The sequence below is a fragment of the Homo sapiens genome, chromosome 12 (assembly GCF_000001405.40).
Source record: "Homo sapiens chromosome 12, GRCh38.p14 Primary Assembly".
In the NCBI taxonomy this organism is placed as follows: domain Eukaryota; kingdom Metazoa; phylum Chordata; class Mammalia; order Primates; family Hominidae; genus Homo; species Homo sapiens.
Window position 1 is genome coordinate 99,341,609 of NC_000012.12, and position 16,486 is coordinate 99,358,094.

The 16,486-nt window shown below is 34.5% G+C and overlaps 1 protein-coding gene across 22 annotated transcripts in view; it reads right to left on the reverse strand.

The window, feature by feature from the left end:
* ANKS1B (ankyrin repeat and sterile alpha motif domain containing 1B) overlaps nucleotides 1-16,486 on the reverse strand; it is a 1,250,151-nt gene that overhangs the window by 606,823 nt on the left and 626,842 nt on the right. The window lies entirely within an intron of this gene.

Consider the following 16,486-nt stretch of genomic DNA (forward strand, 5'->3'; position numbering starts at 1 on the left):
TAGAAATAAAGTTCTGTTTTGTTCTGTTTTAATTTTTCAGCTCTATGGTAGGAAGGTGAGATATAATGGATACAGAATGGGTAATCAGTAAGCCAGTCTGCAGTATCTGGTAAGTACTGTAAGTAGGTAGAGGTAGGCACTGTAATTTCCCCCATTTTACAGATAAGGAAATTGAGCCTTAGAAAGATTATGTTATTTGGTCAATAATAAAGGTATATAGAAGGAAGCAAGGATTTCAACCCAGGTATTCTGATCAACATTCACCTTTTAACTACTACAATATTTAATAATTACTTCATTACATGACTTCTCCTTAGAAGAATATGAGTGACTGAAGAACAATAATTCTTTCTAATTCAGTAAGTATTTTTCAGTATCAAATTCTGGGGGCTGCATTCATTCAAAACTTCATTTAGTCATTCAAGACTTTTAATTAAATACCTACTATGTGCCAGTACTCTTCTAGAGACCTAGGAATATGGTGGTGAATAAAACGCGCATAGTTCCTGATATCATGGAGGTCAGCATTTAGTGTTAGAGTTATCAGGTGAAAAAGTATGCATTAATTAAACGCGACTAAAAAGATATATGAAAATAAGAGAGCATTTAAATGGGAGATTTAAGCTAGCAGGTGCAGGCAAAGAAAGATTTCCTAGGGAAGCTGTTTGAGTTATAGAGACCTGTAAGATGAGTAAGTATCAGCTAGCCTAAGGGACAGGTTCTGGGAAGACAGTATTGTAGGCACATGGAATAAATAGAGTATGAGATGTCCTGGAGGTTGAAAGGAGGTCAGGGGATTGAAAGAAGTCAAGTGTGGCTAATCATAGACAGTAAGTAAAAACTGACCCTGCGATAAGTCTAAAGAGGTAGAAACCCAACCAATGTTCATTGAATGAATAAAGGTGTGCAATCTCTAGTAGATGGTAGCTGTGATGCCTTCTAAACTTCCTGCTTCCACTGAGATTCCATGATTCCAAAAGAGGCAGTATATCTTTGTATATTTAGAAAAGAAAAGGCGAGGCCAGAGTGGTAAACTCTCCTAAAATTATCAAAACATATTGATAGTCTACATTAACACTTTAGAATGAATCACTTTTGTGGATGCTATGGATTCTGCAAGGAGAAAATTAGAATGGACCCATTTGTCTAACACCTAAAAGTAAAATGGGAAAGACTAACAGAATAATTTAGAATAATTAAAATTAAGTAGATTAGTTTTTTCTCTTCTTCTTTATTTGACCTTTGAGATAATGTTTTGTCTTTATGAATAAAGAAAAATCTTTAGAAATTTGCCTAAAGCTCCTTCTCAAAACAATAAGTGTACAGAATGCTTACATCAAGAATACTATAATTTATTTTTAATATATTTTTAATCAAATAGAAAAAATCAAACTGCCCTATTTCTGTCAAAAGAAAAATGTGAATATATTCCATCTATATTCAGTAGGCAGAATCCTCAAAATAACTAATACCAAATACAAGTTTTCAAATCTTTCAAAGATTTACATTATGTATTCCAAAGTAACAGCTAAAATCATATATTAACTTACACATATATCTTTTAAGTCTACCAATAAAATGTGTGACCATTGAAACACATTTAGTGATGAGCAGGAGCCACATTCAATGAAGAAAATTAAGTAGCAGTCCAGCCTCTCTAGACTACATGAGAATAGATCCAATATCCCATGATTCACAATTGTTTTTAAATACATGGTTTATTTCTCTATTATTTGAAGTTTGTTTTTTTACACATATATCTGAACTTCAAACACTGTCTGACATTCCTGAAATAGCTTTAATATTACTTTTCTTTATCTCATTGCCTTCTCTCCCAGGTCAATGGACAAAGCTTAAGGCTTCCAGCATAAGGCTAATCCCTTTATCTGTCCTCTGAATCTCATTGTCAGCTGCTTTTTCAGGGACCTTACTTAATTATTGCTCTCCTCTCAGCATCTACAACCTTTTCCTCTCAACTAAATCTTTACTCTCACCATATAACCATGCTAAAATCTCTGTGCTGGCAAAAACAATCAAAGACAAATAATAAAATAACCCCTCAAGTATTCTCTCCTCATCTGCAATTCTTGTCTTCTCTTTTATTTACATCCAATATTTTTGAAGAGTCATTGGTACCTACCAGCAATTCTTTCTCACCTCTCACTCACCTCCACTGCAAACTGGCTTTTACCCTTATGCTCCAATGAAATTACTCCTGAAACTGTCACAGTGACCTTTTAGTTGCTACATGCAGCGGGCACTTTTCAAGTTGGGTTGATCCCTCAGGAGCATTTGATACTATTAACCAGAAATTTCCTGGAGCATATAGAACTGTAAGGAACAATAAGCCATGTTCCCAGAATCACCACATGGAAGGGCACCCAATTAACACTCAAATAAACTATTCTTTGTGCACTAAATAAACCTGCATTGTGTTAGACCAATGGGATTTATAAAACTGTTCCAGCACATAGCATTACTTACCTTGACAAACACATGAGTCTTATTAGGTCATTCTTAATCTGTCTCCCTGATTACCCACCATTCCCCTGCTGTGAACTCTATGCCCTAGCTACACAAACCACTGTGTGTGTATATGCATGTGTGTGTGTTTGTCCATGCTATTCTATTCTTAATTCCTTTCTTCCTATTATTTGTTGACACATTCTTTTAGTCTCACTTACAGCCTTTGAGAAAGCTTCCCTGTTTCTGACAAGCATATTTACTCCATTTCACCTCATATATCTCTCTTTGTAGCACTCATGCTATTGTATCATAATTGTTTTCTGTCTCTTAAGAATGGATTCTTAGGTTTTTGGAATATGTAAATTACAGGAATTCTAGGCATGCTTTATCAAAACAAGGTTGAAATGATAAACACTGGGCCCTTACATAAAATTTTGTAAGAACATCAGGTTCTGACAAAGAAGAACGAATTTGTGGTTTTATATTTTGTTTCCCTTTAGTTAAACCCTAGATATCAAAGATTTATAATTTCTTAAAAATAAAATCTTGCCTACTTTTGGGCAACAAATACATGAACCAAATATCCTTTGTATCTAATTTCCTTAGAGGTGATTTTCTATGCATAACAGAATTATCTTTTGCAAATTATATTTGCATATGATCAGTCACATTTTTTGTATTTCAAATGTATTAATATTTCAATTAGCTAAAAGCAATAAGAAAAAGATTTATCTAGTCTGCTGTGGAAGTGCTAATATAATTTTAAAAAACAACTAAGAGCACTAATTTTGTTGTCAATTTCATATCCTTATAATTACCTCTTAAATAGGCTGCACTTCTCTCATGGTAATCACTGCTGTTTTCAAATGGCTTGCAAAGAAGAAAAGCATTTAAGCTAACTCCTAGAACAGATGAAACTATTTATTTTGACATTTGTCGGCTTTGGACCATGTCCTTTCCAATTCTGAAAAAGACAACCTGGGAACTTACGTGTTTAGAACAAATAATTTTAATAACTTTGGAGGTGATTTAAAATGGAGCCAATTTTAGGTGTCAGATAAAATGATCCTAATTCATCTTATATCAAAGATACTGGGCAGTGACATTGGTTGGGGTGTGGTCAAATTGTTACTATGCCAATCACTCAGTAAAGGAGTCTGAATCGTCAGTGGACAAGATCTAGAGATCTGAGAAATAACTCCTTTCTTTGCAGCCCTCTCTATGATAGACACTCAAGAATGAGAGAAAATGTAGGGTCATTCTTTTAGGCATGGTCATATCAATTCAAAGGAAGACAAAATAGTTTAGGAAGTGGATTCTAATGCAAGAGATAGTTTAGAGGAAGAATGGAAAGTGACGTTAGTATAGTTTATGAGGTAGTGGTTTCAGTTGTTAAATACAGATAAAGAGAACAGAAGAATATAAATATTCTAAACTGTATCAGAAAGAATCATGGAACTTTAAAAGCATAAAGGACTTTAGAGAGACATCATTTTCGTTCAGTCCTTTCATTTTAAAGAGGAGGAAACTGACCTTTAAAAAGGTTAAATCACTTGACCCAGGTTGCACAGAGAGTTAGTGAAAATAGTGTCTGTGGGTTCCTATGGTGGGGATAGGGAAGAACATGTAAGGGAAGAAAGGAAGTGGGTCTCTTTTCATTCTGATCCAGAAACGCAAATCCTTTAAAAGGTAGGCAGACCTTTTTAAAAAAACAGCTGGCATCACCTGCGGAGCTGAGCCAAATGCTGTGGTTGGTACCCAGCCTGAGCCTAAAAAAAATGCTCTTTGTAAAATTTCTCTTTGTGCACGGATAACCTTCACAAAATTAGTTCATGCTTGCTTTTAAATTACTTTGCACCTGTCCTAATCATACCTGAAGGTGGCAATGTCCTAAGAGTTACATAGGGTTTGTAAAATTGGGCTACTGGCATTATTTTTAGGAGCACTCTGCCTTACTTAATTTGGAGAACATTTTTTTTCCTACTAATTTCGATGCCACATGCTTTATAACTCAACTTTAATTTTCCTCCAAAGATATCCAATTTATTATCCTTGTCTTTAGTGTATATTTGCTTCAAGAGACAGTCTCCACAATGCTGATTGGGATATCATATGAATTCCATAAATTCATTTTGAAGTCCTTGGTTTTAGCTTATAGGATTTCTACATTTTGACTCACTTTTCTTATGTATTTTCTTGATAGTTACCCCCCTGCCTAAACAATTTAACTCTTCCTTTTCTTTTTTTAACTTAGCCACCTCCCTAAATGCATGTATACATTCTCTCTCTCTTTCTCTCTCACACACGCACACACACACACACACTCTCTCTCTCTCTCCTCCCCTTCCCCACCACCACACACATAAAATCATAAAAGCTGTTTTCCCAAATGGAGAGGTATGAAGCATGTGAGAGGTCTGGAGAAGACCAGGAGTCATAAATGTGCACAAGCCAACTTAAAATATGTTATGAAGGCATCAGCGAGAATGTCAGAGTAGGAGACTCCAATAGCCTTACTCTCCACTGAAAAGCAAAAAACAAAACGAAACAAACAAACAAACAATTCTGGCAAAACTGTCAGAAACAAAGTTACTGAAATTCTGGAAAATGGGATGTCTGTGAAATTCTGGGATGTTATTAGATCATGGGGCAGATTTCCCCTTTGGTATTGTTTTCGTGAGTTATCAAAGATCTGGTTGTTTAAAATGTGTAGCACCTCCCCCTTCTCTCTCTTCCTCCTGCTCTGGCCCTGTAAGACGTGCCTGCTTCCCCTTCACCTACTGCCAGTCAAAGGTTTGCAGCAACCAAGAGAATTCTTAATCAAGAGAAAGGGCCACTGTAACCCAGTGGAAGAGGTTTATAGTATTTTAATTTATTTGTGTCCATCCCCACCATTGCTGGCTTAATGGTGGTCCTGAAGAAAGCACCTTGTTCTACCAGTGTGGGTCCTGGTACCAGAGGGAGCAGAACAGATTTTGTTCTGAAAAAACTGTGGTTGCCTGTTTTGACCTATCAGGTGGTTTCCTGAAGGACTAACACAGGGGACTTGCCTTTATTTTGCCTAACTCAGAACTCTCCCAGGGCACAAACATGGCTGCACAGACAGCATCTATATAAATACTTAATAGCAAATCAACCAGCCACTGCTACGCCCATGAGACAAAGAATATTAGATGGGATAAACAATAAACAAAACAAAAAACTTGAGAAGAAGGCTGGGAAGTGAGATGCTTGGGGGAGTAAGGGCTTTGAGAAGCTTCCACATATTCCCAGGTATCTAGAAGGTCACACACATGCGCAGAACAGGCCACATGATCAAATGATCTTGAGAAGATCCTAAAGTCTCACCTTTGGGTGAACTTCAGACTCTGTGAAAGCAGGAAATGAAGTTGAAGGCAGAGTTGTAAACTGCTTAGCTGAGTGTTAAAGGCCTGCCCCAACATACACACAGAGCCCAGTTGCAAAGACTGAGAGAGTTTTTGTTTTATCCAGGCATTTAAGGAAATCTTTGTCAAATCACTAGCTGACCATTGAGTTAGTAGAACAGAGATTTCAGTGACCACAGAGGATAAAAAATACTGTCAGTAAAAAATTAGAAAAGTCACTAAACATACAAGTACAACCCAAGACAAGTAGCAATAACAAAAACTTGGGGACAAGAAGAATCGGATTTCCAGTTACTATAATATTTAAAATGCTCAGTTTTAAACAAAAAGATATTAGACTTCCAAAAAAAATAATAAAGTGTGGCCCATTTACAGGGAAAAAAAGAAATGAATGTGAACTGTCCCTGAGGAATCCTAGACACTAGATTTACTAGACAAAGAGATTAAATCAACTGTCTTAAATATGTTTAAAGCCATAGACAAAGAACCAAAGGAATATATGAAACCAATGTCTCACCAAATAAAGAAGGCAGAAATGATATAAAGGAAACAAATTCTGGAGCTGAAATGTACAAGTATAATACTGAAATAAAAAAATCTCTAGAAGGTTTCTACAGCACTTTTGAGCAGGTAGAAAAAAAGAATAGAAAACATATAGATAAATCAATTGAAATTATCCATTCTAAAGAACAGAAACAAAATAAATGAAGATAAATGAACAGAACCTCAGCAACCTTTGGGATATCATTAAGCATATCTACCTATCTAGCTATCGGAATCCCAGAAAGAGAGGAGACAGAATAATGGACAAAAGACCAAATAATGGCTCACAGTATTTCTACATTTTGGCTCACTTTTCTTATATATTCTTCTTGATAGTTACCCCCTACCTGAACAAATCGAGTCTTCCTTAAAAAAAGACAAAAAAATAAAAAAACTAGCTACTTCCCCAAATGCAAATTTAATAAAAGAAATAAATCTACTTATTCAAGAAGCCCAACAAATACCAAGTAAGATAAACTCCAACAGATCTAAACTGACATATTATAATCAAACCATCAAAAACCAAAGCAAGAATCTTGAAAGAAGCAAGAGAGAAGTAACTCATCAGGTACAAGTGATCATCAATAAGAATAATATCTTATTTAAACTATAGAAGACTTAAGACAGTGAAATGACTTATTTAAATTGCTGAAAGAGAAGAACTGTAAATTAAGACCTATATTAAGCAAAGCTATCCTTTAAAGATGAAGGAGAAATTTAGACATTCACAAATAAACAAAAGGTGAAGGAGTTTTTCACTAACAGACTGGTACTGTAAGAAATGTTAAAGGGAGTTCTTCATATTGAAACAAAAACACACTAGACAACAACTTGCAGCTACATGAAGAAATAAAAATCACCAGTAAAGGTAACTACATAGGTGAATATAACAAACAGTATTATTGTAATTTCAGTTTGTAACTCCTCTTCTTTTTCCTATGTCATTTAGAAGACAAATGCATAAATCAATAATTATAAATTTATGCTAATGGGGACACAATGTGAAAACATGGAATTTGTGACAATAACAACACAAACACATGGGAGAGACCTATATTAAAGCAGAGTTTTATATACTATTGAAGCTAAGTGGGTATTAATTCAAACTCGATTACTTATAAATGTAAGATACTAACTGTAATTCCAAAAGTAACCTGAAAGAACAAGTGAGAAATGTTCAGAAAAGTAAATGAGAAGGGAACCAAAAGGGATTACAAAAGGAAATTAAATTAATAACAAAAATGTAACTAATATGAAAGACAATAATGGAGGAATTAAGGAACAAAAAGGTTATAAGACATCAGAAAACAAATAGCAAAATGGCATAAGTAAGTTCTTTGTTAGTAGCTACTTTAAGTGTAAATGAATTATACTATCCAATTAAAAGGCAGAGATTAGAAAATGATCCAAATATATACTGTCTACATGAGACTCATTTTAGATCCAAAGACACAAATAGGTTGAAAGTTAAAGGATAGAAAAAGATATTTCATGCAAAGAGTAAAAAAAGAAAAAGCTGGAGTGGCCACACTAATATCATACAAAATGTACTAAGTCAAAAGTTGTTATAAAAGAAAAAGGGAGGCATTATATATTAATAAAAGGGTCAATCCCTCAGGAAGATGTGACAATTAAAAGCATACATGCACCTAACAACTGAGTCCCAAAATATATAAAGCAAATTTGACAGAAATGAAGGCAGAATAAACAGCTCTACAGTAATCATAGGAGATTTCAATACCCTATTTTCAATAATGGATAAAATAACTATACAGAAGGTCAATAAGAAAATAAATGACTTCAATGATACTGTAAGCCAACTAGACCTAATAGAGAAATACAGAACATTCTCTGGAGCTAGATATGGATGATGGATATACAACACTGTGAATATACTAAATGCCAATGAATTGTATAATTTAAAATGTTTAAAATGGCACATTTTATGTTATGTATATTTTATCACAATAAAAAACGTTTACCTATTGATATGGTTTGGATCTGTGTCCCCACGGAAATCTCTGTCAAACTGTAATCCTCAATGTTGGAGGTGGGGCCTGGTGGGATGTCATTTGATCATGGCGCAGATCTCCCCTTTGGTGCTGTTCTCATGATAGTAAGTGAGTTATCCCAAGATCTGGTTGTTTCAAATGTGTAGCACCTCCCCCTTCTTTCTCTTCCTCCTGCTCTGGCCCTGTAAGATGTGCCTGCGTCCCCTTCACCTACTGCCATGATTGTAACTTTCCTGAGGCCTCTCCAGCTATGCTTCCTGTACAGCCTGTGGAACCATGAGACAATTAAACCTCTTTTCTTTGTAAATTATACAGGCTCAGGTATTTTTTTTATAGCCGTGCAAGAGTGGAGTAATACAGCTATGGACACTCACAAGGAAACAATGCATTATTAGAAGGGATTAAAAACTATGATGAAAAAAGAGCACCAAATTATTTAACTTAATAAATCCATCACTTCTACAAACACAAGACAACTGTAGACATCCCAGTTCTGAGGCAGGAGGGTATAAGATAAAAGAAGCTGCTAAAAATTAGTAGTCCATATGAAAATAAAAACAAAAGCTAAAAAGTGGAAAACCATGAAAAAGTTTTCTGTGTGAGAAAGAAATGAGATTGGGGTACAAAGGTACTGCTTTTTAAATGAAGAATTCTAAAATGATTTAAAGCTTTAAACTGTGTGAATGCCTAACTTGTTTTAACATCAACTGATGTTTAATATTAATGCAAACATCAATTAATTAAACACTCCAACCCCTCAAATGTAGTGTAGGAAAAACCATACTCACTTCTTAGGCTCAGTATTTTCAAAATGATTGGATCACATCCACGTCTTTCTGAATGCATTCAGCTACGGTCACTTAGTTCTGCATTGGTTTTGTGTCTGTCTTAATAGCAATCACTCCAAACCTAATAGTCTCAGTCACAGCTCTCAAGTATTTTTCTCTTTTCCCAAATCATTCTCATTTTATTTTGAGAACTATCTCCCTTATAGTAATCTAGGTTTATGAGTCATTTTCAAAATCACAAAGTGCTTTATCATTCCACTTTTTGAAAATCTCTAGAATGTAAGTATTTTGGAAAAAATCTTGGTATTTTCCACCTTGTGAGTCTGCTGATGGGCAGCCAGTAAAGTCAGTGCTGTTGAATTAAAATAGGCAACACAACAAGACAAGGGACATTGGTCATGCAAGTCTTATTTCCTGAGGCACAAGACTTTGAAATGAGTCGTACAGGTTTTACGATGATCAACTCTCAGAGGCCAAGGCCCACTAAACTAACTATATACTAAAAAATGAGCCATTGTAAAGGAATATTTTCTTGTAATTTTAAATTAAACTTTTTGGGGGTGGTCTTTTATAATTTTTAATTTTGGTGGTAATCCTGGAGTTTATTTGCACTATTTTTAGTTTTTAACTTTTTTTTTTTATTTTTGAGAGTTATGGGAATGTTAGTGTTTCAACCTGTGATGGTAGAAAACACATTTTAAAATAAGACAGACCTGGGTTTGAATTACAAAGAACTTCTAAGTCATGTAAGCATAGATAAATTAGTGTCTTTTCTTACCTTCGGTTTTCTTCTCTATAAAATGATAATGTCCAGTTTTCCTTGTTGTCATGAGGATTAGAAATAATACAGATAAAAGAGCAATCACGGTATATGACAAAGAACAGGTGCTCAAATTGGTGGCTTTATATTTATAGTTAAAGCATAGAAGTATTAAAGTCCTCATGCCTCAATTAGACCAGTTCTTACATTTTACCAGAAAGGAAGCTGAGAATCAAGAAGAGTGATCTGACATACATCAATAAGATAAAGCTAGATAATTCCAGAGATTAGTACTGAGGTTTCCTGCTTAAGCAACAATCTCTTCCTTCCCTTGGGCTCTCTTCACTATGGATGAAGTCTACTATTTAAAGGAAAGTTTAAAATAATTTATTGAACATAGGAGAAAGCATACCTCAGAATATTCGGAAATGTGACTTAGATGCACCTTCTGAGATTGAAACTTGACCAAAGATGACCCACATTTTCTGAAGACTTTGCCAATGTCTGCTTGTTAGTGACTTGGAAAAAGTAGATACTGAATATGAAAAGTACAATTTCTTCTTGCCCTTCATTAAAACAAAATAAAAACATGTTCTTTACTCCAAGACTAAGTCTGACCTGCTATTATATTTGATAAATTAAAGTTCTTCTAAGATTAAAAAAAATCCCTTTAGCAAATTGTTCCAGCTAACATAGTACCCAGCATACAATAAACATTTAATAAATACTTGTTGGATGAACAAGTGAATGTGTACGTTCTCATAATGCTAATGAGAAGTAATGATTAAAACAAAAGTATAAATAAGAATGACAGAAACATCAAGCATTCTGATGAGGATCTGGGAGGGGGGAGTCTGCTATGAGAACAGCTTGCTCAGACAGAGAAACACCAAACGACTTCAAAAAAAACCACACTGACTTGAGTTCTGGCATAACTACCTCACTGCAGGCAACAAAAATTCTGCTTTGCCTTTAATCAATGTAATGAAACTGTGCCTTAACATGCTTCCTTATTTGCATATCTCTTGTAATCCGTGTTGCATACAATACAAAAAGATTTATTATAAAGAAATTAATATATCTTGAGAGGCCATCCCCATCAGGCAAAAGACCCATCTGAAGATAAAAATCACACCATTTATAAAAACCTTAGAAAGATCTTACAAATCCATGAATTATTTACTTAAAAACTTAAACATCCAGAGATTGAGTTCTCAGCTCTCATTGGCAAATTTGCTCCTCTAAACATTTCCTAATGCACATGAAAACTATTTCCCTGAGAATCCAGTTCTCTAAGTAGTCGAGTTATAGAGTCTATTATAGATATAACTAAAGATTCTCAATAACTTTTAAAAACTAAATTATGACATAGTCTGATGAAGGGTACATTTCACCTTATAAACTGCTTCATATTGTAATTCAAATTGTAATTAGACTCTTCACCCCTAAACAGGGATGTTATCCCCACAAGTTTCACTGTACACAAAACTGAATCACATTAGCCCAAGCCCCGGTTACCCTTCTCCTAATTAGAATCTTTGCTTCTCCCCAGTATGAATCTCACAAGGATACCAGACCAATCTCATTAGAGGCACCACAGTATGATGTGGTCTTTAGAATAAGATATACATGGGTGAAATGTGGCTTCACTCCATTTTATCTGTGAGCTCTTGGATGAATCTCTTATCTCCCTTATGTCTCAGTTTCCTTACCTGTAAAACTGAGATAATACCAATCTTATAAATTTATGAAGGAGAGTAAATGTGTGTGTTGTCTGTAAAAATCCTGGCATATGATAAGCACATAATAAATGGCACTGGCTATTACTATCATCATCTTGTAACATACTGGTTTCTCATGTCACTTCATACACAAAAACCACAATAAGATACCCAGGTCATATCAAATTAAATTCAATCTCTTCTATTGTGTTTTTAATGCTTTCTATATTCTGACCAGTTTCATCTTCTCTCCCAGAATTCCAGAGCATAAATTATAACTCTGGTCAATTTAGTTTCCTTTTAATCTTTTTCACTTAGCATGTCAATTCCTGCATGTCAATAATGTTGCTATTATTTTCTTTCACTTTGCTTGCTCCATTATGCCAGGACCTTCACATTCCTTAAGATTTTAGATCATGTCCCATCCATTTCCTCTATGAAACAGACTCTTAATGACACTAGCTCACTGCTTTCTTCTCTAGCTTCTAGGGCCAGGTCCCTTAGAGGAACTGGGAAAGGATGGAATTTCTGTGTGATGTACTCACATTTTTCTCTATGAGAGCCTGCTCTTCTTTCTATGTAATCCTATCACTTTGAGCATTTATTTTACACTGTTATGGAGGCCACTAGTGAATACTAAAGTAATTTTCTTTTCCATTGATGTTACTAGGATTATAGTCCAAAGAAAGGATGCATCTATGTTTATGCAAATTAACTTGATTTCAGCTAAGCTTCTTATTGGCACACTGGGTTCTCTCCTGCTTCATGCAAGATAAAAGAAGTATCACAAAAATCTTATGAACTAACTGGTAAATATAAGTTAAATAATAGCACAGTGTATATACTAACCTCAAAGAATATTAATAAATGGGTCTATACAACCAGGAAAGAGATCTTTAGTTATATATCACTGGGGTCTGAAATGAACCAATGACCCTTTTTCTGTTCATTAGAGACAACATGGGGTAGTGTGGCAAGTCTCATATACTAATTCCTGGGTTCTACTCCACATACTCTGTAGAGTAAAGCCTAGAAAACATATGAAAATGTTCCTTGTATGGTTTTGGATGCACCAGAAATCATAAATATAGTGGTCAAACTACATGCTTCAAAACCAAAGATCTGAATTCAGAGTTTGTCTCTGTCTTTTTGTTTGTACGTGATGTTGTACTTACCTGAACCTCACTATTTCCTCATGTTGAGTGTTAAGTGACATGATGTATGTATAGTGTCTCACATATAACAGACACTCACTAAATAGGAATCATTTATCTATTATTTGGATGAATACCCAAAAGAAATGCTCATTGAACCCACTGTTGTCACACCATTAAGAAAGAGAATGAATACAATAAATGCTAAAATGACTTTGAGTCTCGTACTACTAGGCCAAACACCCATAATATTAACATGGATAAGATTACTAAGTGGATTTAGGTTGCAAAATCAATTGCATAAGTAAAGGATAGGAGACCTGCAGAATAATAACAGTTGACAGGGGAGAAAAAAACCACCCAGAAGTTTTTATTGACTTTAAGTTCAGTAAGAGATAAGTATATGACTCAAACAATCTTTGGGATAGGAAATAGAAAGTTGGGAGGGTATTAGCATATCCAACGGTGTTTGTACCTTCCACAGCTCTTAGTACAGTAGCTTCTTTACAGAAAAAACACAAAGGCATTATAATGATGTGTGATGTCAATAAAAGGTCAATATGATCACTGTATTACTATTAATAACTAACAGTATGATATCTAATACTTATTGAGTGCTTATTTTAGGCAATATAATATGCCAAATGTTTTGCATGTGTTATTTCCTTTAATTGATAAAACATTTATCTCAAAATCTTTGTAAATAACCATTTCTTTGAATCCCCAATTTTAAACCCAGACAGTCTGTGACCTAAGAGAGCGGAATTGCTAAATCATGATACTAACTCCCATTTAATAAGGTGACTGTGCTTCAGGTTTCATAATTGGTAAGTGGAGATTGGGATAGTGCTAGAATTATTTCCTTGGCTTTGATGCTAATTTCTCTGTGCAATTCACTTTAACAATTACTTCAGATCTGCAATTTGAAGTATTTGCAGTCTTATTCATTGTTTTCCTGCCACAAATTTATTCCTTAACCAAAGTTTAGGTTCATTCTGTTATTTTAATGCCTTTTTAGTTGTCTTTTGACTAAAAGGTGAGTAATACTAATTTGGGAGAATCATATTATTCAGAATTAGATAAGCCTCACTGCCCTGCAAAAAGAAGCTCACTTCTGTTTGCTTGGCTTTCTGATTTGGTGGCCTCTGCATGGAGATTCAGATTTCATTTCTCATTTACATTTGTCGTTTTGTCTTCTAATAGTTTGCCCCCTTATAATACCATGTTTGCTAATAACTCTGCTTTCATGCTGTTTGCCAATGCAGAAGGGAATATTTTTCTTTAATACATTACATTTCTTCCCTCCCTACTTAAGAACTATTTACCCAGCTTACACCATGTACCTGTCCATTTATTTGGAATGGTATATGTTTTGGGATCCTTTTATCTCCTTTCCATATTTGAATAATTATAGTTATTGATCTCTGTGGCAAACCTACCCTTCGTAGTGTTTTATTTATATCTTTTACCTTTTCTCAGTGAAGAGAAAAGGATGGAAATTATAATAAAATTATTAAAATTTATAAAATCCAGGGTCTAATCAGAGGACAGAAACTACAATAATTGAACAGGAAAAGTTTAATGTATAAAGAATTAGCAACTACAACAGGGGATTAGAATATTGAGGGATTGGTCAGTAAGGAGTAAAGGGTACTCTTAAAATATACAGGAATAACAGATATAAGGAACAGCCACTACTCTAGAACTGATATAGATGCCCAACGAAGACGCTTGCCTACCCTGAAGGCTGAGATCTGGACCTTGTCAGGGAGGGCACAGCCATGGCTTGTGGAATGGCAGGCACTGAATAGAATGCTGTGCCAGCGTAAGTTGCTGAAGATCTGCCCTTCAGAACTTTATGGAAATCTGCTCTCTAGAATGCCAGGGAAAACTGTTTATAGGCATGTGTCTCTCTGGAGTCTCTCCTCTATGAAATTGTCCAAAGTGGGTGCTGCTGACCACCACGCACTGGCATTGTGCGAGCCTGATGGTGCAGTTGCTGTTTACACTGAGGAGCCTGCTGAGAGAGCATGCCAGCATCAGGAAGGAAAATTCCTTCCTCCTGTGCTTCAATTGACCAAGCTGAACGTTGTACACGCTGGCAAAGGAAAATATTTAAAGGGCTCATCTCCATTTTTGCAGAACAGGCAATGGAGTATAAATTTGCAGATGAGATACAATAACTTGATAACTGGTACACCAGGTAACCTGTATTTAACAGGAATCCTGGAGGGCCATCTGGTTCAATTTCCTATCTTCCAGCAGATTGATGCCTAAGCTATCTAAGACAGATGGTTGTTAATGCTATTAATATTTAAACATGAGTTCCCTTTAAAACCTGCTTTACTCTTTAAAAACCGAAGCCAGTTAAGTCTATACGTGTTTACTAGAGAGAATTTTGGAAATACTAAAAAATTATAACAGAAAACTAAAATAAGCTATAATTCCAGAATTTAGAGAAAACTAATGCTAGTATTTTGGTCCATATTCTTCTAGACTTTTTTTTTTTTGGCTACTCATGTATTCATTTAAAACTTATTTAGCATCTATTAGGTCTAGGCACAATAGTAATTGTTAGGTGTACAGTGACAAACCTATCAAATGCCTCCTCGTCAACTGAGAATCTAGTGAAGGAATCAAATACATCTATTTATGTATATATAAATATGTATAATACATGTATCTATTTATAACACTTTTTAATAATAAAATTGGGTTCATTTTACATATGCTGATTTGGATTCAGCTTTATTCATTTAACATTATATTAAAAATATTTTCCATGTTACTATAAGTTTTTGGAAAGTGTCATTTTTTTCATGACTAAATAATTAAATTTTATCATTTAAATATGGTTTGATTTCCCTTTTTTCTATTGTTAGGCAACTTTTTAGCATTTTAAATAATACACTTTGCATTATACCCATCCCTGCATGATAGTTAACCCTGTGGATATAACCATGCTCCTGAGTTTAAATCTCATCTCCAGCATGGGCTGAGTGATTTAGAGAAAAAACACTTAACTTCTCTGACTTCAGTAAGATCATAGTACCTGCCTCATCTGGGTGTTGGGTGGATAAAATAAGTTTAATATACAGAAAGCACCTAGAACGCTGCCTGAGAACATAAGCTATTTAAGTATTAGTATTATACTCATCATCTGTTTATGTGTCTGTGTCTCCCTGAGATGTAATTGCCTTGGTGGTTTTGCCTACTATTATGTCCCTAACACATAACACAGTGTCTTGTCCATGGTACAAAATTTAATACTTATTTAATAAATTAGGTGAAAAAACCCTCATATATAAATCACATTACTAGTTGAAAGAGTATAAACATTTTTGAGGATCTTGATACTTGCTAAATTACATTTCAGAAAAGTATCAACTCATATTGTAACTACAATACATGATAAGAATGCCCTTCTTAGCCTGCTCTTAGACATTAGATATTACAACTTTTTAATGTTTTCTATTTTTTTCATAACATATTGCATTATACTGCTGCTTTAATTTGTATTTATTCAATTGCTAATGAGGTGGAACATGTTTTTCCAATTGAATACTATTCTTCAAATTGTCTATTTTCTTTCCCAATTTTCTACTAACATAAGGATGTTTTTCTTACTAATTTTTAGGAATTCCTTTTATTGTTAA